This window comes from Homo sapiens, chromosome 6 (assembly GCF_000001405.40).
Source record: "Homo sapiens chromosome 6, GRCh38.p14 Primary Assembly".
Taxonomy (NCBI): Eukaryota; Metazoa; Chordata; class Mammalia; order Primates; family Hominidae; genus Homo; species Homo sapiens.
In genome coordinates, this window is record NC_000006.12 from 81319183 (window position 1) to 81342300 (window position 23118).

The following is a 23118-nucleotide window of genomic DNA, read 5'->3' on the forward strand; positions in this document are numbered from 1 at the left end:
TTTGCATATATATATGAAAATACTTCTCATTTTAATATTTTAAGATATGGCATACTTTAATATAAGGGCACATAAGTCAACACCTTGATAAATGTTTTACAAATTAAACACAGCTGTGCAATAAACACCAAAATCAATAAAGACATTATTAGCAGTCCCCCACCCCAATTTCTTTTGCTTTCTCTTTCAGTGTATTTTTGTTTCCTCAAAGATAACCACTATTCTGACTGCTGAGAGCATAGATTAATTTTGCTTTCTTTGTATTTTCTTAGAGGTAGAATCTTAAAATATCGACTTTTTTTGTTTGACTTCTTTTAGTCAACATTATGATTGTGAGATTCATCTGTATTATTGCATAAAAACCATATTTTATAATAGAATATTTACCTGTATTTAACTAGAGCATTAGATTGATTAAATTCTGAAATAAAAGTTTAATAACAAAATTAATTGTTTTGCTGCAGATATGGAGAGCAAAGGAATTGGCCTTTGGTTTACCAAAAAATAAAACAACAAAATTTTATTTTTGCCAATTGCCATGATCTGAATGTGTCTCCCAAAATTTGTATGTTGAAAGTTAATCATCAAAGTGATAACATTAAGAGTTGGGGCCTTTAGGAGGTGATGAGGCTTTGTCCTCTTATATAGGATTAAAGCCCTATAGTAAAGCTTCAAATAGCATTTGCCCCTTTTTCCCTTCTACTTTCTTCCAGTGAGGATACAGAATTCAAGGCACCATCTTGGAAGCAGAGACTGGGCCCTCATCAAACACTCAACTACTGGCTGCTTGATCTTGGACTTCCCAGCCTCCATGACCGTGAGCAATAAATTTATATTCTTTATAAACTACTCAGTCTCAGATATTTTGTTAGAGCAATAGGAATGAACTAAAAGACCATCTCGGTTAATAATTCACATTTTTCTTTTGCTTTTCAACTGTCAAATGCCTTGATGCTACAAAGAATGGTGCTGACACTTTATTCTCACACAAATATAACTTTTAAAAGCATCTTGGATAGATCAACCTTTTATTGACATTGCATCTGTGAGCTACAAGATGCCAGTTTTTCTTGATCTAGAATGGTATACAGCAAAAAGTGATTGGTGTCTGCAAGCCAAAGATGAACTTGATTGGTATAAACATTTCCAAGTTAATTATATTGTAAGTCAGACATTGTTTCAAATCCAGGATGGAGAAAAAATAGTCTGAGAAATTGGTTTAAAATAACTTTATATTTGTCCAAGACATTATCAAGAACTAGCTGTAAAGGTTCATATCCTGCCCAAGAAATAGACATAAACAAACCAAGTCTGTCCAGCCTAGGAAATTCATGGAGACGGCTGATTCTGCACCTGGCCAATGATGAATGAAGTTCTGAAGTTTCAGAGGTACACAAATTTACCCTAAACCTGCATTGCAGAATAACTTATTGAAATGTATGTCTGCCGTTTATTTGTTATTGTGAAAGACACCAAAGAGTAAGTGCAATTATCATCATCCTACATCTCCCTGGAAAAACCAACTTTAATGTTCTGGAAATCAGGCTTTCTTTTTTGTCTAAAGCCTATGGTCTGAATGATGAGATGAGAGAGATGGGCTTGGCAAAAGAAGAGGACAGGTGGATCTCTGGAGCCCGGGAGTTCGAGACCAGCCTGGGCAACATGGTGAGACCCTGTCTTTAAAAAAAAAAAAAAAATACAAAAATTAGCTGTATGGGATGATTGGTTCCTGTAGTTCCAGCTACTCAGTGGGCTGAGATGGGAAGACTGCTGAGCCTGGAAGGTCAAGGCTGCAGTGAGCCATCACACCACTGCACTCCAGCCTGGGTGACAAAGTGAAATATTTGAGGAGACAGTCTATGTGTTTTCATCACTTTAACCTGAGACCATGTACAGTGAGTGGCACATAGTAGAGATCGAAGGTCACTTATTTGGTGAAATGATCTCTTGTATTGCCTCAGTTGAATTTACACACTCTTATAGTAGGTCTTATAATCCCAACCTGACTATAAGCTCCTTGATGACTGATCAAAAAACAATTTATATATTTTTTAACTTTTTAATTGTGAAATAATTAAAACTTACAGTAAAGTTGCAAGAATAGTACAGGGAACTCCAGAGCACACCTCACCCGGACTCATGGATTGTTTATTTACATTTCGTCACATTTTCTACATGATTCATTTTCTGTTTCTCTCTGTGTCCATATATACAAATATAGAGACAGAGATAATTATGATGTTATATAGAGACAGATATAATTAAATATATATAGAATAATAATAATGTTTGTTGAGTTCTTAAGAAAGTTGGAGATTTCCTGTCCTTTTATGCCTAACTGCTGTAATGTGTATTTTCTAAGAAAAAATACATTCACTTTTATAACTACAGTAGAATTTCCAAAATCTAAGAATTAACATGAGTATAATAATAATGTATATATTTTATTTAATTTCACCAATTGTCTCAATAATCTTTCTGGTAGTAACTGTTTTTCTGATCCTGGATCCAGTCCAGGATCACATATTATATTTAGTTTATATTTTATTTGATCCCCCTATTCTTTATAAAAAAAGAGTATTATAATTCCTTATGTTTCATTCCACTGTATGCAATGTTACAGCAAGTGCACAATAAACATTACATATGTGTGTTCATGTATTCAGCTATGAATCACAGAGAAATGCAGAACTAAATTATTTTTCCTCTTTTTTCATATTAAAATAAAGAGCTCAATGGTGTCCATCTGTTTTATAACCAACAATTCTATGTTACCTTTTAAAATTCATTGCATTCTCATTCTGCAGGGAAGATCTCTAAGAGAAACTCAGATGGCTTTAAAAAGGATGCTATTAGCCAGTTCTAACTTCTTTCTTCCATTGGCTAAAAATCAGTATTTATGTAAATGGAGATTTTTACAAGTTATGTTCAATTAAAAAATACACAAACGGCACAATTTAAGAATGTTTAAGGAGCATTCATTCAGGATTGAAATACTGATGACTGACCTCTACATATTGCATAGTTTTTATTTAATAAGTTGTGTTTTCTAATACCCATGTAAATTAGTAATGTAATGTAAATTATCCCAAGGTATAAATTAATTAATCAGTTAAACAAGATGCATAGGAAATTAGACACCACAGAGTGGGTTTCTGGTGATGAACGGACTTGGGCAAGAAGTTAGAATTTTGTACCTGCTCTAGCTAGGTCAATTAGTAAAGAAAAATAAATAAAAGGCTACCAGATTGGAAAGGGAGATGTAAACTACCTCTATTTGCAGATGATATGATCCTATATACAGGAAACATGGATAAGAGTCTCGTATCCAGAATATATAAAGAACTCTGTCTTTTTGTTTGTTTGTTTGTTTTTGTTTTGTTTTGTTTTTTGAGACAGAGTCTTGCTCTGTCACCCAGAGCTGGAGTGCAATGGCACTATCTCAGCTCACTGCAACCTCCGTCTCCTGGGTTCAAGCAATTCTGCCTCAGCCTCCCAAGTAGCTGGGATACAGGTGCCCACCACCATGCCTGGGTAATTTTTGTATTTTTAGTAGAGTCAGGGTTTCACCATGTTGACCAGGGTGGTCTCGAACTCCTGAACCTGTGATTCGCTCTCCTTGGCCTCCCAAAGTGCTGGGATTACAGGTATGAACCACTATGCCCAGCCAAGACCTCTAAAAAAAAAATTAAAAAAAAAGACAACCCAATTGAAAAATGAGCAAAGGATCTGAAAAGACATCTCTCCAAGAAGGACATACAAATGGTCAATAAGCACTAATCATTAGAGAAATACAAATCAAAACCATAAAGAAATGCCACTCCACATGCACTAAGAGGACAGTAATTACAAAACAGATAAGGAGAACATGTGTAGAAATTGAAATTCTTAATTTCAGTGCTGGTAGAAATGCAAGATAATGCAGCCCTTTTGCAAAGTAATATGGTATTTCCACAAATTATCAAACATAAAGTTATATATAACTAACATAAAGTTATATATATATATATAAAACTTTGTATATATATAAAACTTTATATATATATATATATATATATATATATGATGCATCAGGTTCAAGCAGCTGTGCGGGAATACAAGATAAGAGAAACACAGGAGTGAGAATATAAAGAAAAAAATACAAAACAAACAATAGAAGACTTAAGTCCTGTCATAAAAATTAAATGAGGCCGGGTGCAGTGGCTCACGCCTGTAATCCTAGCACTTTGGGAGGCCAAGGCGGGAGGATCACAAGTTCAGTAGATCGAGACCATCCTGGCCAACATGGTGAAACCCTGTCTCTACTAAAAATGCAAAAATTAGTAAGGCATAGTGGTGAGCACCTGTAATCCAGCTACTCAGGAGGCTGAGGCAGGAGAATCGCTTAAACCAGGGAGTCAGAGGTTGCAGTGAACCGAGATTGCACCACTGCTCTCTACCCTGGTGACAGAGTGAGACTTTGTCTCAAAAACAAAAATTAATTTAATGTAATTTAAATAGTTTATATCTGCCAATTGAAAGACTGAAATCAGCAAAATGGATAAATAATGTAGTCCAACTATTTGCTATTCAAATTCATAGATATGCCAAAATTAAAAGGACTAAAAAAAGATATGCTGTGCAAATATTAATTTAAAAAAAAGCATGAGTGGCTACATCAACATCTGATGAAGTAGACTTCAGAGCAAAGAAAATTACAAGACAATGAGGAATATTACATGATGATATAGGAATCAATTCATGGGAAAGATATGATGATGCTAAATGTGTATACACAAATCAACAGACCATCAAAATACATGAAGGAAACTGATAGCACTGAAAGAAGAAATAGACAAATTTACAACTATAGTTAGGGACTTCAACATCCCCTTTCAGCAACTGGTAGAATTAATATACAGGAAAACAAGGACATAAGAGATCTGAACAAAGTAGAATATCCAATAGAATATAATTAATGTATATAGAATACCCTGTCTGACAACAGCAGAATACTTGGTAGGTTGTAGATCTTCTTAATCACATTGATATAATTTCAGCTATTAATTCTTCTTTAAAGGTTGGTGAAATTCTCCAGTGAAACCATCTGAGCCTCGAGAACTCTGTATTAGTTCTTAAAACTGCATGTGAATGTACAATTATCTTAGCAAAAATTTCAATTGAAACAATAAAACTTGGATGTTGAAATTTAAAGTTGCACTTAAAGCATTTTTCTTTTTTTTTTTAAGGAGTGATTTTAAGATAAGTGAAGATAAACAAAGACAAGGAGCAGCAAGCCTAACATTAAAGCAGTGGGTTATAAAACAAAGTAGAAATTAAAAACAAAAAAAACAAAAAAAAAAACAACAAAAAAACAGCAAACAGCAAATAAGGGCAAAGAGAATTCCAAAACAATGCCAAGATAGTTATTGACAACAGAAGCTGCCTCTGTAATAAAACAAACAAGAAGACAGAGAAAAAGATAAGGTAAGGTGGATGCCCAGTGATATTATATTTGGAAATAATGACCAGCTGTGGACAATGTCAACACAGGAGGGAGTTTAGAACAGGTCTTAAGACAACTTTTCCTTTTTTTTTGAGATGGAGTCTCGCTCTGTCACCCAGGCTGGAATGCATGGTACAATGTCGGCTCACTGCAACCTCCACAGTTCTCTTAGCAATTCTCCTGCATCAGCCTCCCGAGTAGCTGAGATTACAGGCATCCACCACCATGTTGCCCAGCTAACTTTTTTTTTTTTTTTCTATGTTTCGTAGAGACGGGGTTTTACCATGTTGGCCAGGCTGGTCTCAAACTCCTGACTTCAGGTGACCCGCCCCCCTCAGCTGGGATTACAGGCATGAGCCACCGCACCCAGCCGACCCTTCTCCTTTTTATTCACCCCATGTACCTGGTTTGAGGGGTACTTTCCTGTTATAAACAGGTTCCTATTAGACAAGCGCAGGGACCCATAACCACGAATAAACCAAGGAAAGAATATACAGGCCTCATGTGTTTCCCAAATTCATATCTCTGGTTTTGACCTCTTTTCTGAACTCCAGGTCAGTATGCTCATTTGTCCAATCAGTACCTGTAACTTCATCCTGCATCTTTTTTAAATTCAACATCTCCACAAACATTCCCTCTTGCTTTTCCTTCATACCTTGATTAAGGTAGCATCATCTTCTATCAATCTTCCAAACCAGAAACCTGGATTTCATCCTTGAACCTTCCCTATCCATTACTTCTTACATCCAAACATTTACTAAATCTAGTACATTCTATTTCTTTCTTTCTCCCAGCCCTTGCTTTGCATAAGGTGACTGTCATTTGTGGATTACAAAGGCCTCCTAATTGCTCTTATGAGGAGTTTCTCACATACTTAAATCTGCTCTTTACATGGAAATCTATAAAGTATCCTTGCAAAACATACATACTCAGAACACACCATTGTATAAAATATCCACTGCTTCCTTGATGCAACATAGGGTAGTCATACAATTTATGTTCACATCAGGATGCTATAGAGTGACAGGAGACTACAGTGAAAATTAGGATGAGACAAGGGTGTAAATCAGACCTGTCCTGCAGAACCTGGAACATGTTATTACTTCATTTTGACTAATGATGTATTCAAAGCCCTTCACAATCTGGCCTACACATCTCCCCCTGAGAGTTTCCCCTACTCAGGACTTGCTATATAATTTGCATGTCCAAATGCACAATAATGTGAGGACCCTTGTTCAATGGCTAACAATTTCAACTTAGCCACAGCAAATAATTAAATCAAGCACAGGGTCCTTCTGAGCACAGGACTTTGTGTAACTGTACAGCTCACAAACCCATCAAGCTGCCCTGCCTCTACCCCTAAAAGTATATATTCCTACCAATAGAAAATTCTCACAGCTTTGCAGGTACACAAAACCATTTCATAACTACTTATCTCTGTACACTCTTTGAATTATCTATTCCATCGTCTAAGAATGACTTTTTCTGTTTCTTTCACGCAAGGCACAGGTGAAATGACACCTCTTGAATCAGACCTTCCCCTTATCTCACTACCAATTCATTTATTCTGTTCCATGTGTTGTTGTTTTATGTCTATTATAATATTTACCAACTTTCAGTATAATAGATTGCCTTTCATGATATCTTTATCAACATACCTTTTAGCAGTTTTGTGCTAGTTTATTTTTTTCTTTTTTAAATTTTTCTTTATTTTAATTTTTATTATTATTATTTTTTTGGGACAGGGTTTCACTCTGTCACCTAGGCTGGAGTGCAATGACATGACCTTAGCTCATTGCAACCTCTGCATCCTGAGCTCAAGAGACCCTCCCACCTCAGCCTCCTTAGTAGCTGGGATTACAGGCCCATGCCACAACACACGACTAATTTTTGTATTTTTTGTAGAGATAGGATTTCACCATGTTGCCAAGTTGTATTAGTTATTTTAAAGGTTTTGCTTGATAATTCCAAGAACTGGGCCATCTCTGTGTCTGCTTCTATGGACCTTTTCCTTTATTGGTCATGGGCCCCATTGTCCTACCTGTTAGAACTTCTTACAGTTTTTAATTATATACAAGAAATTTTGTATAAAAGAATAATAAGCACTAAAGTTAATGATCTTAACTTCCAGAAAATGTCATGCCTCTTCTTTTGTTTGAATGCTAATGTGGAAGTCTTCATCAATATGAAATGCAGTTGAACTAGACTGACTTTATTGCAGCTTTAGTTATATTAAATTGACCACTGACTTCATGTGGTTTGCAGGGAAGATCTAAACTTTCCCTTCAGCGTGGCTTAGGATCTGAGCCCTAGTCAGATTCAGGAGTTTTATTTGTGCTTTAGAGCTGAACCACTACTTTTCTGTGCCAGAAATGATATCGCTCTGTTTTATAGCTCAGCTGCCAACTTTTTGATTCACTGTAAAGAAGTCTTTGCTTTCCAGGGTCATCCTTGGTTTTCAACTCTGGATATCTCTTTTCACCCTGATTTCCATTCACCAGTCTTACAGCTATGAAGCACTGGAGTGTGTCAAAATTTTTATCCTTCTTTGTCCCAGCCTGTGTAGCTGAGAGACCAGTGGGTCTCAACTCTCCTACTCATCACGTCCCTCCCCTTCAGTTGGCTGCTCTATTATACTTAGGGCAAGCTCTGCCTGCCTCAGGGGAATCTCTCTCAGCTCTCTTGCCTTGTTTCCAGTATTTCGGTGTGTATCATCAAGCACTTGTGGGAAAGATTTGGTGGGTGGCTGCAGATTTGCTCTGTGGTTTAGGCTTCTTAGAAATCTAAACTCTCATGCCAGCCTACGCACAGCCATTAAAAGTTCATTAAAAGTTTAGCTGGTTTCTCCTTACCCCCTTCTACGGTAGGTACCTCCTCCCCCACTACTTCACACGACATGAAAACATCTGTGGAACTCTTCTCTTCTGGAAAGGCTTGTCATTTTTCTGGAAATTAGTTTATTTAGGTTTTATTGCATCCTTAACTCTCTGAAGGATTTTTTAAAAGAACTATGTGTTTTTGAAGTTTACCCAACTTCTTTTGGTTGCTAAGATGAAAGCAATGATTTCCTGTGACTCTGTATTCTAACCAAAAGTCCCACATAATATTTTTGTAATTTGTCAATAATGTTTGTAAGTTTCTGAGTTGTGAAATATTTATCATACAAGAAAAAGTTATCGTCCACATTAAGTGTTTCCCTTTACAATCACTTTCTTAGGTAGCAAGTTTATTTTATTTTAGGTTTAAATGCTATAATGGCAGGATACTAGATTATTTGAAGTGAATTTTTAAGATTTCTTTTTCATTTGACCCATGCTTGATCTACAAATGCATACCCAAGTCATCATCATCCTTGAAGTATAAGATGACCTGTCCAACTGAAAATTTTGAAGAAGACATTGTGAAATCTTTATTTTTGGGGATCAACTTCTTTGACAGTCACAACAATTTTAGAGCCAGTGACTGGACAATAAAACTGATGCCATACTTTGAACTGATACAATAACTTTGAACAAATTAAGATTCAAATAGAGCACTTTTATGTCTGCTGTAACCGCTAACAAGCCTAAGAGTTTTCAAATACATTATCTTTCTGGTGCTTCACAACCACTTTCTTATGTACACAACATTAGTAAAGATAATTAATATTACTCTCTTCCTACAAATTGATAAATTAAAGCTAAAGACTTGCCAGAGGTTACAAACATTGCTGTAGGTCTTCTAGCTCCAAGCCCATACTTATTCCACTGACATTCCTACACTACACTCTGTTAAAAACTATAGGAATGTAAACACATTTTTCAAGGTATATTGACTTTTAGAAATGGGACTTCAGTCTCAATAAAGATAATTATATGAAGGAATAAACAGTTTTGCGTAATTAAATCTTTTCTTTTTTCCCTTCTCCAAATGCATAATGTGATTTACTTCTAGAAAGAATCCTGTTCTTATTTCTTGTGGTCTTTTTATAGCAGCCATAGCACCCAGGAACTATGTAAGAAGATGAATTTACTCCAGTGTGGTGTGTGAAATGCATGGTAACTTGTCTTTTGAGCTTCATGGACAGAGGATAAATCTACATATCTAAGACTGTTTTATGGTTTTCTTGACTGTCCTCTCATATATTAGTAGTTTCCACACTCTTACCAGTAGGTCCCTATTTTCTGCGGAATAAAGTTTCAACTATTCAGCCTATCATTGAAAGATCTGCACAATTTTATACCACCTACCTTTCTAGCCTTATCCCCTGTCACGTGATGCTTATTCTGGCTGTAAAAATCCATGAACTGTTTGCTACACATAAAGATAAACTTTGAGGTTGTGGAAGAAACACTAGACTGAGAGTTGAAAAGCAGATTTGAGGAATGTATATATCATATATTATATAATATATATAATATATTATATATATTATATACATAATATATTTATATATATTTTTATGTATATATATATATATCTTTGACTAGTTTCTAAATCTGCTTAGACCTCATGTTGTTATATCCTTGTCTATATATATTATAAACAGGCTGGTATAGAGACTATCAAAGTTCTCTTCAAATTCTAATAATTTTTTATGAAGTAGTTTTATTTCTGTTCCAACTTTTAGTTTGTTTTTGTTTCTGAAATAGCCCAAATTTTAAAAAAATGACATTGTTAATTCTCCCATGCTGTTACCTTGGGAAAGAATTACTCTAGCCTGGGAGACAAAGTGAGGCTCCATCTCAAAAAAAAAAAAAATCTAATTGTTTAAATTTATTTTAATAAAAATGTCATATGAGATTTGTTTCTTACAAGTTTGGATATTAAAACTGCAACAGAAGCAAGTTTAAGGTTTAAGTCTTCAAGCTTACTTGTGCTTTTAAAGAAAAGACAGGAAGAGAAGCATTGACTTCACTTATAAGAACATTTAGTTCATGAAACTTCTCAACAAATTTCCATACCTAGGGACTGAATACAGACTATGTTTCCAGGAATTTCTTATCCTCCAGTCTCACTAAGAAAGTAGCTAGACCATTTGTCAACAAAGGAGAGCATTTCTCCTGAGGTAATTTACTAACCAGATGCTGAGATGGTCATCTCCTGCCAGGGTGTATTCTGCTGCCAGGGACTACACCGTCTATTTCAGGTTTTATGAAAATCTATGTTTTAAGAGTGGCTTCAGATGCTGACATTGGTGAGGCACTGTTTTTAAACAGATAATATATCTGGATTGGTTCACCTCAAAATAGGTCCAGGAGACAGCCTACCCATTTCATCCAGGCAGTAGGTCTAATGCAAGTTTTCTCCTTTCCTTGCTTTTGGCATCACCCATCCCTGCCAATGACAATTGAATGACTTCAGTTAAGTTCAGTAAGCCAACTCAAATGAACTATTACTGGTAATTTAATTGGACATAGAGCTAATTTTTCTGAAAATATTCTTTCTTAGGGCCAAAAACTTATGATTTTTTGATAAGAAATTAAGCACTTGATCTGAACTTTTGCTTGCACAGAATTCTTCTGGTGCCTTGTCTGTAGTAACAATTTCAGGTCCTTGAATATCTACTTTATGAAAGCAATCACTGACTAAAACGCCAAATAGTAAAATGATGTTTCTTGCATAAGTTATTCATTAACATAATCATAGTCATTTAGAAGTATAGCCATCAACAAAATCTTAGATAAAAATGATTTCAGCACTTTTACTGGAAATGAGAAAAATAAATGAAAATTGAATTCTTATTTTTGAACGAGAACCTACAACAAACCTACTTTGTACATTATCTACCTAAATTTAATCCCATGCTAGCCTTATGAGATAGAATTGTTCATCTTTTTGAACAATGGAAATAAGATGTGGAAATACTCTGCTTCTTGCCGAGGTCACTGAATCCAGGTCTTCCTGACTGTTAAGCTCCATGCTTTTTTAGGACACCTTACTGAGACCCACTTAAATCGTTTTTTGACCCAGAAAAAGTTTGCTGGCCAGATGTGGTGGCTCACACCTGCAATCCCAGCACTTTGGAGGGCCAATGAAGAAGGATCACTTGAGATGAGTTCGAGACTAGCCTGAACAATATCACAAGAACCCCCACCAAGAAAAACCTTCAATTTTATCTGAATTGGAGGAAGGGGTTGAGCCAACTAAAAAGTATCAGTAGAGAAAAAAAATTATTTCAAGGATGAATATCTGTCTTTGAAATTGGTTAACTTTTAAATATAATTTTAATCAAACAAATACTTCACTCTTTAAAAAACAAAAAGAAAAAATATGTAGAAAGTAAATTTTTAAAATTGTAATGAAGCAACAAAGATACATGCAATAGTTATAGAAGTGAGATACTCGTTTACTCTTTTGTTCTTCAAGCCTTTATTTTAAAAAAGCTTTTTTTAGCAGAGAAAGTTAAGACAAAGGCTAAATACATGCATCAGAGCAAAAATCATAAGGCATAAGAGTGAAATTTAAACTATCTTAACTAACTCATAGCACTGATGTGAAAATAAATTGAGTATATTCTGTCTTAAGTTATATACAAGTATCCTAAATAAATTTTGGTTAGTACATATTAAATTGACTCTATTTTTGTCTTGATATATCGAACTAGGTCCTAATAAGATTAAGAAAGAGCTTGACAGAGGAGACAAACATTTTCATTTGTTAAGAATCAGGCAAATTCATGATTGACATTTGGACTTATTTATCTTATGGGACTTATCGAAGTGAAAGTGAGAACAGAAGAAATCTTACAGTTTTGTCCCCCCGAAGTTATAAAGATTCATTTCCTAAAAGTCAGAACCAAAATGACACAGACACTGGACTGAGAGGAGTGAATTAAGCACAAATTATAGAATTTCTTAAACATACCAGACTCTTTTTTTTCCTATAATAAAATGTGGCAGTGTAGTACTTCAGGTTTTTTACAACTTGGATGTACTCTAGTTTGAGGTTGTGCTATAAAACTGGAAGCTTCCAGAAGCTGTGGGCACATGGTTTTATTGGATAGTGAGAGATGCTTGCTGCTGATGAATCATTATTTCTTCAAATTTTTTAAATTCACTAATATTAACATCACTGTGTCATTATTCACTGTGTGGTGTGTAAGAAGGGACATTTTTTATCTAACTCATTCCACATAGTCAGGGATTAGGAATGGGTCATTTTCATCCAGGAAGCAAAGGCCCGGGTGTTACTGAAAATGAAGAGAGTGTAACTGTGGAAATAAATCCAGTCACCTCTATGTCTCCTCCATTACTCAATACCAAAATGAAAAGAAAAATGCCATCCTTTGAGCCATAGCCACTATAAACTATAAGTGAAACATATATGCTAAGTTAGGTAGAAATTGATGATTATGTTTTCTTTTATAGAAATGTGTGTGTGTGTGTGTGTGTGTGTGTGTGTATGTGTGTCTGGTATAATACAACTCATTCTATGAAAAAAATACAGAAATTGAAAAATTTGTGTAAAATGATTTCCATATTCTGTATTTGCTCTCATATATACTAAAGTGTAACCAATTACCGAGTTCCCAGCCAGACGAATTTCAAATTGATATACATACAAATGAGGTTATTCTATGTTAGTCAGCAAATCATTATCAAGGATTTTTCATTGTTCTATTGGAAGGGAATAAGTGGCAGAAAAAAATTCTAATATTATTTATTATCCAATCTGAAAACTCATTGTAGATTATCTCTTAAATTGACTCTTGTTTTGATGATAAATTAATTCATAGGACTTTAATTTGCAGAAAAATGGAAACCTTCCTTAAGATTTATTTTTTAAAGAAAAGTAACAAATTTCTTAATTTGATGCCAGTTTTTCTCCTTTACTAACACTATATTCAATAGCTAAGGGGATAAAACAGATAATTTATATGTGATGTAGCAAAAAGCTCACCAAATAACTAAAAAGTACAAAGTAGTCTAACATTTACATTTTTTAATCTAGATTTTTTGCATTATTAAAGTTGATAAAATTATATATCTTTCTAAATTCCTGCTGAGTTTGTGTAAAATATTATTTCAACTTTACAGTCATGAAGACAGTCAAGTGATGTATGTGTATGGCACACAATAAGACGTGACTAGTCAGTGTGCTCTACAATTTTTCTTAAACTCTGGTTCCTAATTCTGACTCTCATTCCTATTTTTCTGGGGCTTTTTAAAACTACCAATGCTTAGGCTCCACGCCAACTAATTGAATAAGAACTTATGGTTCTGGGTAACCAGCCTTCCAATTTTCTGTAATGTCCCAGTAGTTCTAAGTTGAACCCAGGGTTGAAAAGTAGTTCCGTCTTTCAACGATATAGGAAAATGAGATTGTTAAAGGGTACAATACAAAGGAATCTCAAAATCCTACCGACTTATCCAGTGGATTGAATTCTAATATTCTATTAAATAAATGAAGGACATTTTCATCTGTAGCCAATAACAGTTGACCATGTCCCACTTAGGATGAGAAAATATTTAAATAGCTTCATTTAGTTGGCAGAAATCCAGCAAATACACTGCTGCATGTTAAGTAGCTTCTTCCACATTGAATTCAAGGGTTAGGAAATGCATTCATTTATTCATCAAAGACCTTTGTAGATTTAATAATTATGTGCCAGGAATCATTCCCAGATGGAATCATGAAATTAAGTTGCCGGGCGCGGTGGCTCACGCCTGTAATCCCAGCACTTTGGGAGGCTGAGGAGGGCAGATCACGAGGTCAGGAGATCGAGACCATCCTGGCTAACATGGTGAAACCCCGTCTCTACTAAAAATACAAAAAATTAGCCTGGCGTAGTGGCGGGCGCCTGTAGTCCCAGCTACTTGGGAGGCTGAGGAAGGAGAATGGCGTGAACCCAGCAGGCGGAGGTTGCAGTTAGCCAATATCGTGCTACTGCACTCCAGCATGGGCGACAGAGCAAGACTCCGTCTCAAAAAAAAAAAAAAAAAAAAAAAAGGAAAAAGAAATTAAGTCAAATATGACCTCTCCATTTAGTAATTGTTAGTAAGAATGTGTATGTTTATTCAATATATATAATTGAGTCCCATTATGTAGCAAAAATTTTTCTTAGAATAGATACCTCATAAAACAAAGAGGTAAAAACCCATGCTCTATGAAGCTTGTTTTCCAGGGGGAATGTAGGAAATATTAGATGTGAAAAAAAATGAAAGCAATGAAGGAGAATATGGAGTGTTGGCAGGAAAAAAGATGGGTACAGTGTAAATGGGATATTTGGAAAGGCCTCATTGAAAATGTGACATTTAAGAAAGCACCTGAAAAACAGAAGGGGTAAGCCATGCAATTATTTGTAGAAGAGAGTTCCAGGTAAAGAAAACGCAAATGCAAATATTCAGAGCCAGAGACTTATCTAGGATGTTCGAGGAAGAGTGAGGCAACCAGCCACGGTGGATGGAACAGAGGAAATGAGAGAGTTATATGAGGTGAGGTCAAAGAAGTGACAGTGGTCATATGGCATGGGGACTAGTTAGGACTTGGATGTTCTGGGGAGCTGGTGAAGGGTTTTCAGTAAGAGACTGAAAAGATCTGATTTTCCTTTTAAACAAATTACTATAGTTATTGTGCTTAGGATTGACTGAAGGGAGCACATATGGAAGGAGGAGAACAGTTAAACTATTATTATACAAGATTCCAGCTTAGATGTGCCCTCTGCAGAAGATGTTCTGGTAGTAGAAAGAAAGAGACATATGCTTTTACCAAAGTGTTCAAGGGAGGCTTTATAAAAGTGTGTGTGTTTCATGAATCTTCAAATCATAAATAGGAGTAGATCATCTGGAAAGAAGGAAAAGGACATTCTTCAAAAAAGGGAAAATAAACAAAAGTGTACAGCTACCATGGTGCATTTAGGAGTGATTTATTATACATTAAAGTGCGGCATGCATGGCATGGGTGGGGCGATTGGGACTGGGATAGAGACTGGAGATCCTCCTGTACTATTCTGAGTAGTTTGAACTTTATCTTACAAGCAATAAAGGAAAATTTAGAGTTTTTAGCTAATCTGAAACAATGTGGAAGAAAGGTTAGAATGAGGGGCAATTGGAGACAGACACAAATTATAAGATTTTTTGTTTTGTTTTGTCTTGTTTTGTTTTTACTGTGACCATAGTCTATTAGAGAATATAAGTAAGTATTCACAATTATGGTGAGAGAGCTATAACAATAGCGTACAAAGAATTCAATAGGGGAGGAAGAAGAGGAAGCAAGTTAAGCTAAGTACAAACATCAAGAATGGCTTCACCAAGGAAGTAATCTTTAAACTATATCTTGAGAAATTACCAAATTATTTTTTATTATACATGGTGAAGAGAAATTCCAGGCAAAGAGAGTATCACAGGCACAGAGACCTGAAAAAACATGACAAATTAGAGGATGTAAAAGACTAATTTAAGCACAGGACATAAGTAGAAAAAGGGCCAAGAAGGCAGAAGACAAGGGCAAATGATTTTATGGAGTATAAACATGGTTCTCTAGGCAATGGAGAGAGAATGAAAGACATTAAGTGTGATCAGATTATGCTTAGATGTGTGTTTTATTTTATTTTTTATTATACTTTAAGTTCTAGGGTACATGTGAACAACGTGCAGGTTTGTTACATATGTATACATGTGTCATGCTGGTGTGCTGCACCCATTAACTCGTCATTTACATTAGGTATATCCCCTAATGCTATCCCTCCCCCCCTCCCCCCACCCCACAACAGGCCCCCGTGTGTGATGTTCCCCTTCCTATGTCCAAGTGTTCTCATTGTTCAATTCCCACCTATAACTGAGAACATGCAGTGTTTGGTTTTTTGTCCCTGCAATAGTTTGCTGAGAATGCTGATTTCCAGCTTCATCCATGTCCCTACAAAGGACACGAATTCGTCCTTTTTTATGGCTGCATAGTATTCTATGGTGTATATGTGCCACATTTTCTTAATCCAGTCTATCATTGTTGGACATTTGGGTTGGTTCCAAGTCTTTGCTAATGTGCATAGTGCCGCAATAAACATACGTGTGCATGTGTTTTTATAGCAGCATGATTTATAATCCTTTGGATATATAACCAGTAATGGGATGGCTGGGTCAAATGTATTTCTAGTTCTAGATCCTTGAGGAATCGCTACACTGTCTTCCACAATGGTTGAACTAGTTTACAGTCCCACCACAGTGTAAAAGTTTTCCTATTTCTCCACATTCTCTCCAGCACCTGTTGTTTCCTGACTTTTTAATGATCGCCATTCTAACTGGTGTGAGATGGTATCTCATTGTGGTTTTGATTTGCATTTCTCTGATGGCCAGTGATAATGAGCATTTTTTCATGTGTCTTTTGGCTGCATAAATGTCTTCTTTTGAGAAGTGTCTGTTCATATCCTTCACCCACTTTTTGATGGGGTTGTTTGTTTTTTTCTTGTAAATTTGTTTGAGTTCTTTATAGATTCTGGATATTAGCCCTTTGTCAGATGAGTAGATAGCAAAAATTTTCTCCCATTCTGTAGGCTGCCTGTTCACTCTGATGGTAGTTTCTTTTGCTATGCAGAAACTCTTTAGTTTAATTAGATCCCATTTGTCAATTTTGGCTTTTGTTGCCATTGCTTTTGGTGTTTTAGACATGAAGTTCTTGCCCATGCCTATGTCCTGAATGGTATTGCCTAGGTTTTCTTCTAGGGTTTTTATGGTTTTAGGTCTGACATTTAAGTCTTTAATCCATCTTGAATTAATTTTTACATAAGGTGTAAGGAAGGGATCCAGTTTCAGCTTTCTCCATATGGCTAGCCAGTTTTCCCAGCACCATTTATTAAATAGGGAATCCTTTCCCCATTTCTTGTTTTTGTCAGGTTTGTCAAAGATCAGATGGTTGTAGGTGTGTGGTATTATTTCTGAGGGCTCTATTCTGTTCCATTGGTCTATCTCTGTTTTTGTACAAGTACCATGCTGTTTTGGTTACTGTAGCCTTGTAGTATAGTTTGACGTCAGGTAGCGTGACGCCTCCAGCTTTGTTCTGTTGCCTTAGGATTGTCTTGGCAATGCGGGCTCTTTTTTGGTTCCATATGAACTTTAAAGTAGTTTTTTCCAATTATGTGAAGAAAGTCATTGGTAGCTTGATGGAGATGGTATTGAATCCATAAATTACCTTGGGAGTATAGCCATTTTTACGATATTGATTCTTCCTATCCATGAGCATGGAATGTTCTTCCATTTGTTTTTGTCCTCTTTTATTTCGTTGAGCAGTGGTTTGTAGACCTCCAACCTGCTCTGTAGCAGTGCTCAGGAACAACTGAGATTTGCTGAGACTAAAGGAAGAATTGAGAGACAGGAGTAGCTGGATTTCCTAGGCCAACTAAGAATCCCTAAGCCTAGCTGGGAAGGTGACCACTTCTACCTTTAAACACAGGGCTTGTAACTTAGATCACACCCAACCAATCAGATAGTAAGGAGAGCTCACTAAAATGCTAATTAGGCAAAAACAGGAGGTAAAGAAATAGCCAATCATCTGTTCCTGAGAGCACAGTGGGAGGGACAATGATCAGGATATAAACCCAGGCATTTGAGCCAGCAATGGCAACCCCCTTTGGGTCCCCTCCCCTTGTATGGGAGCTCTGTTTTCACTCTATTTCACTCTATTAAATCTTGCAACTGCAAGCTTCTGGTCCGTGTTCGTTACGGCTCGAGCAGAGCTTTTGCTTGCTGGGCACCACTGCTGTTTTGCCACCATCGCAGACCCACCGCTGACTTCCATTCTTCCAGATCTGGCAGGGTGTCCGCTGTGCTCCTGATCCAGCAAGGCACCCATTGCCACTCCCAACTGGGCTAAAGGCTTGCCATTGTTCCCACATGGCTAAGTGCCTGGGTTCATCCTAATCGAGCTGAACACTAGTCACTGGGTTCCACCATTCTCTTCCGTGACCCACGGCTTCTAATAGAGCTATAACACTCACCACATGGACCAAGATTCCATTCCTTGGAATCTGTGAAGCCAAGAATCCCAGGTCCGAGAACACGAGGCTTGCCACCATCTTGGAAGCAGCCCACCACCATCTTGGAAGGGGCTCGCCATCATCTTGGAAGCTCTATGAGCAAGGACCCCCGGTAATATTTTGGTGACCACGAAGGGACATCCAAAGTGGTGAGTAATATTGAACCACTTTCGCTTGCTATTCTGTCCTATCCTTCCTTAGAATTGGAGGAAAATACCGGGCACCTGTGGGCCAGTTAAAAACAATTAGCATGGCTGCGGGACTTAAGACCCAGGTGTGAGGCTATCTGGGGAAGGGCTTTCTAACAACCCCCAACACTTCTGGTTTGGGGACACTGGCCTGCCTCGAGCCAGCTTCCACTTTCAGTTTTCTTGGGGAAGCCAAGGGCCGACTAGAGGCAGAAAGCTGTCGGCCCGAACTCCCGGCAGTAGCCGGTTGAGATCATGGCGCAGCCAGAAGTCTCTACTCAACAGTTGCCCATGCGTGCGCCCCTACATTTCCTTCTGACCCATACCTCTCCTTCTGATCCATACCTCCTGGGTCCCAACCACAACTTTCTTCAAAGTGTAGCCCCAAAATTCTCCTTACCTCTGAATCTATTTCCTCTGATTTCTGCCTCCTGGGTACTAATGGTTCAGACTTCCATTTCCTCTAGCAAGTTGTATCTCCAAAGGAATCTAAGGAAGCTCTATGATGTGTCCTTAGGCACCTAGGCTATAACCCAGGGAGTCTTATCCCTGGTGTCCCTCCCAATTTAGGTATATAGCTCTTGAATGGGCAGTTATGTGGGACCCATTCCCCACCACCCTTGCCAGGGCCCCAAGTTTGTAATGGCTAAGAGAGAGACACGGAGAGAGAGAGAGAGGGAGAGAGAGAGAGAGTCAGAGAGAGAAAGAGACAGAGAGAGAGACAAAGAGGGAGTCAAAGAGCAAAAGAAAGAAAAAGAAATAGTTAAAAAAAAAAAAAAAAAAAGTGTGCCCTATTCCTTTAAAAGCCAGGGTAAATTTAAATCCTGTAATGATAATTGAAGGTCTTCTCCGTGACACTATAAAACTTCAATGCTACTTTGTTGTCAGTGTAAATAAGGGCATAGCCCGAAAGCACTGAGGCCACTGACAATCCATAGCTTTCCTATCAAAAATCCTTAACCCAGTAACCCACGGATGGGCCAAATGCATTCAGTTAGTAGCAGCAACTGCTTTGCTAAAAGTAGAAAAGTAACTTTTAGAGGAAACCTCATTGTGAGCACACCTCACCAGTTCAGAATTACTCTAAGTCAAAAAAAAAAAAAAAAAAAAAAGGAAAAAGGTAGCTTACTAACTCAAAAATCTTAAAGTATGGGTCTATTATGTTAGAAAAGGGTAATGTAACTCCAACCACTGATAATTCCCTTAACCCAGCAGATTTCCTAACAAGGGATTTAAATTTTAATTACCATACAAAGGTCTGACCAGACCTAGGAGGAACTCCCTTCAGGACAGGACTATAGATGTTTCCTCCCAGGTGATTGAGGAAAAAACCACAATGGGTATTCAGTAATTGATACGGAGACTCTTGTAGAAGCAGAGTTAGAAAAATTGCCTAATAACTGGTCTCCTCAAATGTGCGAGCTGTTTGCACTTAGCCAAACCTTAAAGTACTTACAGAATCAAAAACACTATCCGAATCCTGACTCAAAAGGTTACCTACACCCTCTCTGAAATGAATTTGCATAAGAACTGCTTTTATGGGAATGCATCTTGATGGGGCAGCTGGGTTGTTATGAAATACTCAGGAACCCAGCCCAGCTCTAGGACTCACCCCTGAGTGCAAAGGCAATGTTGGGCACGCTGGTAAAGGACCACTAGAATCCAGCAGCCCAGACCCCTTTCTTTGTGGTCAAGAGAGGTGGGAAAACAGATGCAGGACTGCTACATCAGTGAGCATAACTAATCTGATAAGCAGAGGTCCATGGGTTGTTACGCACCCTGGGAAGGAATAAGCATTAGGACCATAGAGGACGCTCTAGGACTAATGCTCATCAGAAAATGACTAGGGGTGCTGGAATCCCTATGTTCTTTTTTTCAGATGGGAAACATTTCCCCCAAGGCAAAAACACCCCTAAGATGCATTCTGGCGAATTAGGACCAATTTGACCCTCAGACACTAAGAAAGAAATGACTTATATTGTGCACTGCAGCCTGGCCACAATACCCTCTTCAATGGGGAGAAACCTGGCCTTCTGCGGGAGGTATAAATTATAACATCATCTTACAGCTAGACCCCTTTTGTAGGAAAAAGGTAAATGGAGTGAAATGCCATATGTGCAAACTTTCTTTTCATTAAGAGACAACTTGCAATTATGTAAAAAGTGTGGTTTATGCCCTACAGGAAGCCCTCAGAGTTTACCTCCCTATCCCAGCTTCCCCCCACTCCTTCCCCAACTAATAAGGACCCCCCTTCAACCCAAATGGTCTAAAAGGAGATAGATAAAGGGGTAAACAATGAAGCAAACAGTGCCAATATTCCCGATTATGCCCCCTGCAAGCAGTGGGAGGAGGAGAATTTGGCCCAGCGAGAGTGCATGTACCTTTTTCTCTCTCAGACTTAAACCAAATTAAAATAGACCTAGGTAAATTCTCAGATAACTCTGATGGCTATACTGATATTTTACAAGGGTTAAGACAATCCTTTGATCTGACATGGAGAGATACGTTACTGCTAAATCAGACACTAGCCCCAAATAATAGAAGTGCCGCCATAACTGCAGCCCAAGAATTTGGCGATCTCTGGTATCTCAGTCAGGTCAATGATAGGATGACAACAGAGGAAAGGGAAAAAATTCCCCCACAGGCCAGCAGGCAGTTCCCAGTGTAGACCCTCACTGGGACACAGAATCAGAACGTGGAGATTGGTGCCACAGACATTTGCTAACTTGCGTGCTAAAAGGACTAAGGAAAACTAGGAAGACTATGAATTATTCAATGATATCCACTATAACACAGGGAAAGGAAGAAAATCCTACCGCCTTTCTGGAGAGACTAAGGGAGGCATTGAGGAAGCATACCTCTCAGTCATCTGACTCTATTGAAGGCCAACTAATCTTAAAGGATTAGTTTATCACTCAGTGAGCTGCAGACGTTAGAAAAAAAAACTTCAAAATCTGCCTTAGGCCCGGAGCAAAACTTAGAAACCCTATTGAACTTGGCAACCTTGGTTTTTTATAATAGAGATCAGGAGGAGCAGGCAGAATGGGACAAATGGGATAAAAAAAAAAGAAGGCCACCGCTTTAGCCATGGCCCTCAGGCAAGTGGACTTTGGAGGCTCTGGAAAAGGGAAAAGCTGAGAAAATTGAATGCCTAATAGGGCTTGCTTCCAGTGTGGTCTACAAGGACACTTTAAAAAAGATTGTCCAAGTAGAAGTAAACTGCCCCCTCATCCATGCCTCTTATGTCAAGGAAATCACTGGAAGGCCCACTGCCCCAGGGGTGAAGTTCCTCTGAGTCAAAAGCCACTAACCGGATGATCCAGCAGCAGGACTGAGGGTGCCTGGGGCAACCACCAGCCCATGCCATCATCCTCGCAGAGCCCTGAGTATGCTTGACTATTGAGGGCCGGGAAGTTAACTGTCTCCTGGACACTGGTGTGGCCTTCTCAGTCTTACTCTCCTGTCCTGGACAACTGTCCTCCGGATCTATCACTATCTGAGGGGTCCTAGGACAATCACTCACTAGATACTTCTCCCAGCCACTAAGTTGTGACTAGGGAACTTCACTCTTTTCACATGCTTTTCTAATTATGCCTGAAAGCCCCACTCCCTTATTAGGGAGAGACATTCTAGCAAAAGCAGGAGCCATTATACATCTGAACATAGGAGAAGGAACACCCGTTTGTTGTCCCTTGCTTGAGGAAGGAATTAATCCTAAAGTCTAGGCAACAGAAGGACAATATAGATGAGCAAAGAATACCCATTCTGTTCAAGTTAAACTAAAGAATTCCGCCAGGCTGTTTTTCCTCTATACCCAGCTGTACCTAGCCCTTATACTCTGCTTTCCCAAATACCAGAGGAAGCAGAGTGGCTTACAGTCGTGGACCTTAAGGATGCCTTTTTCTGCATCCCTGTACATCCTGACTGTCAATTCTTGTTTGCCTTTGAAGATCCTTCGAACCCAACATCTCAATTCACCTGGACTGTTTTACCCCAAGGGTTCAAGGATAGCCCCCTTTTATTTGGCCAGGCATTAGCCCAAGACTTGAGCCAATTCTCATACCTGGACACTTTTGTCCTTCAGTACATGGATGATTTAATTTTAGCCACCTGTTCAGAAACCTTGTGCCATCAAGCCACCCAAGAGCTCTTAAATTTCCTCGCTACCTGTGGCTACAAGGTTTCCAAATGAAAGGCTCAGCTCTGCTCACAGCAGGTTAAATACTTAGGGCTAAAATTATCCAAAGGCACCAGGGCCCTCAGTGAGGAATGTATCCAGCCTACACTGGCTTATCCTCATCCCAAAACCCTAAAGCAACTAAGAGCGTTCCTTGGCATAACAGGTTTCTGCGGAATATGGATTCCCAGGTATGGTGAAATAGCCAGACCATTATATACACTAATTAAGGAAACTCAGAAAGCCAATACCCATTTAGTAAGATGGACACCTGAGGCAGAAGTGGCTTTCCAGGCCCTAAAGAAGGCCCTAACCCAAG

The 23118-nt window shown here is 37.9% G+C and overlaps 1 annotated feature.

Annotated features, from left to right (window-relative positions):
* Positions 21078 to 21247: an enhancer, noted in NCBI's record as "experimental_96007 CRE fragment used in MPRA reporter constructs". NCBI's record gives its function as "activates a minimal promoter by MPRAs in K562 erythroleukemia cells, with activity observed for both the introgressed and non-introgressed 6:82050062 variant alleles {active_cell/tissue: K562}" and the evidence as "EXISTENCE:reporter gene assay evidence [ECO:0000049][PMID:34662402]".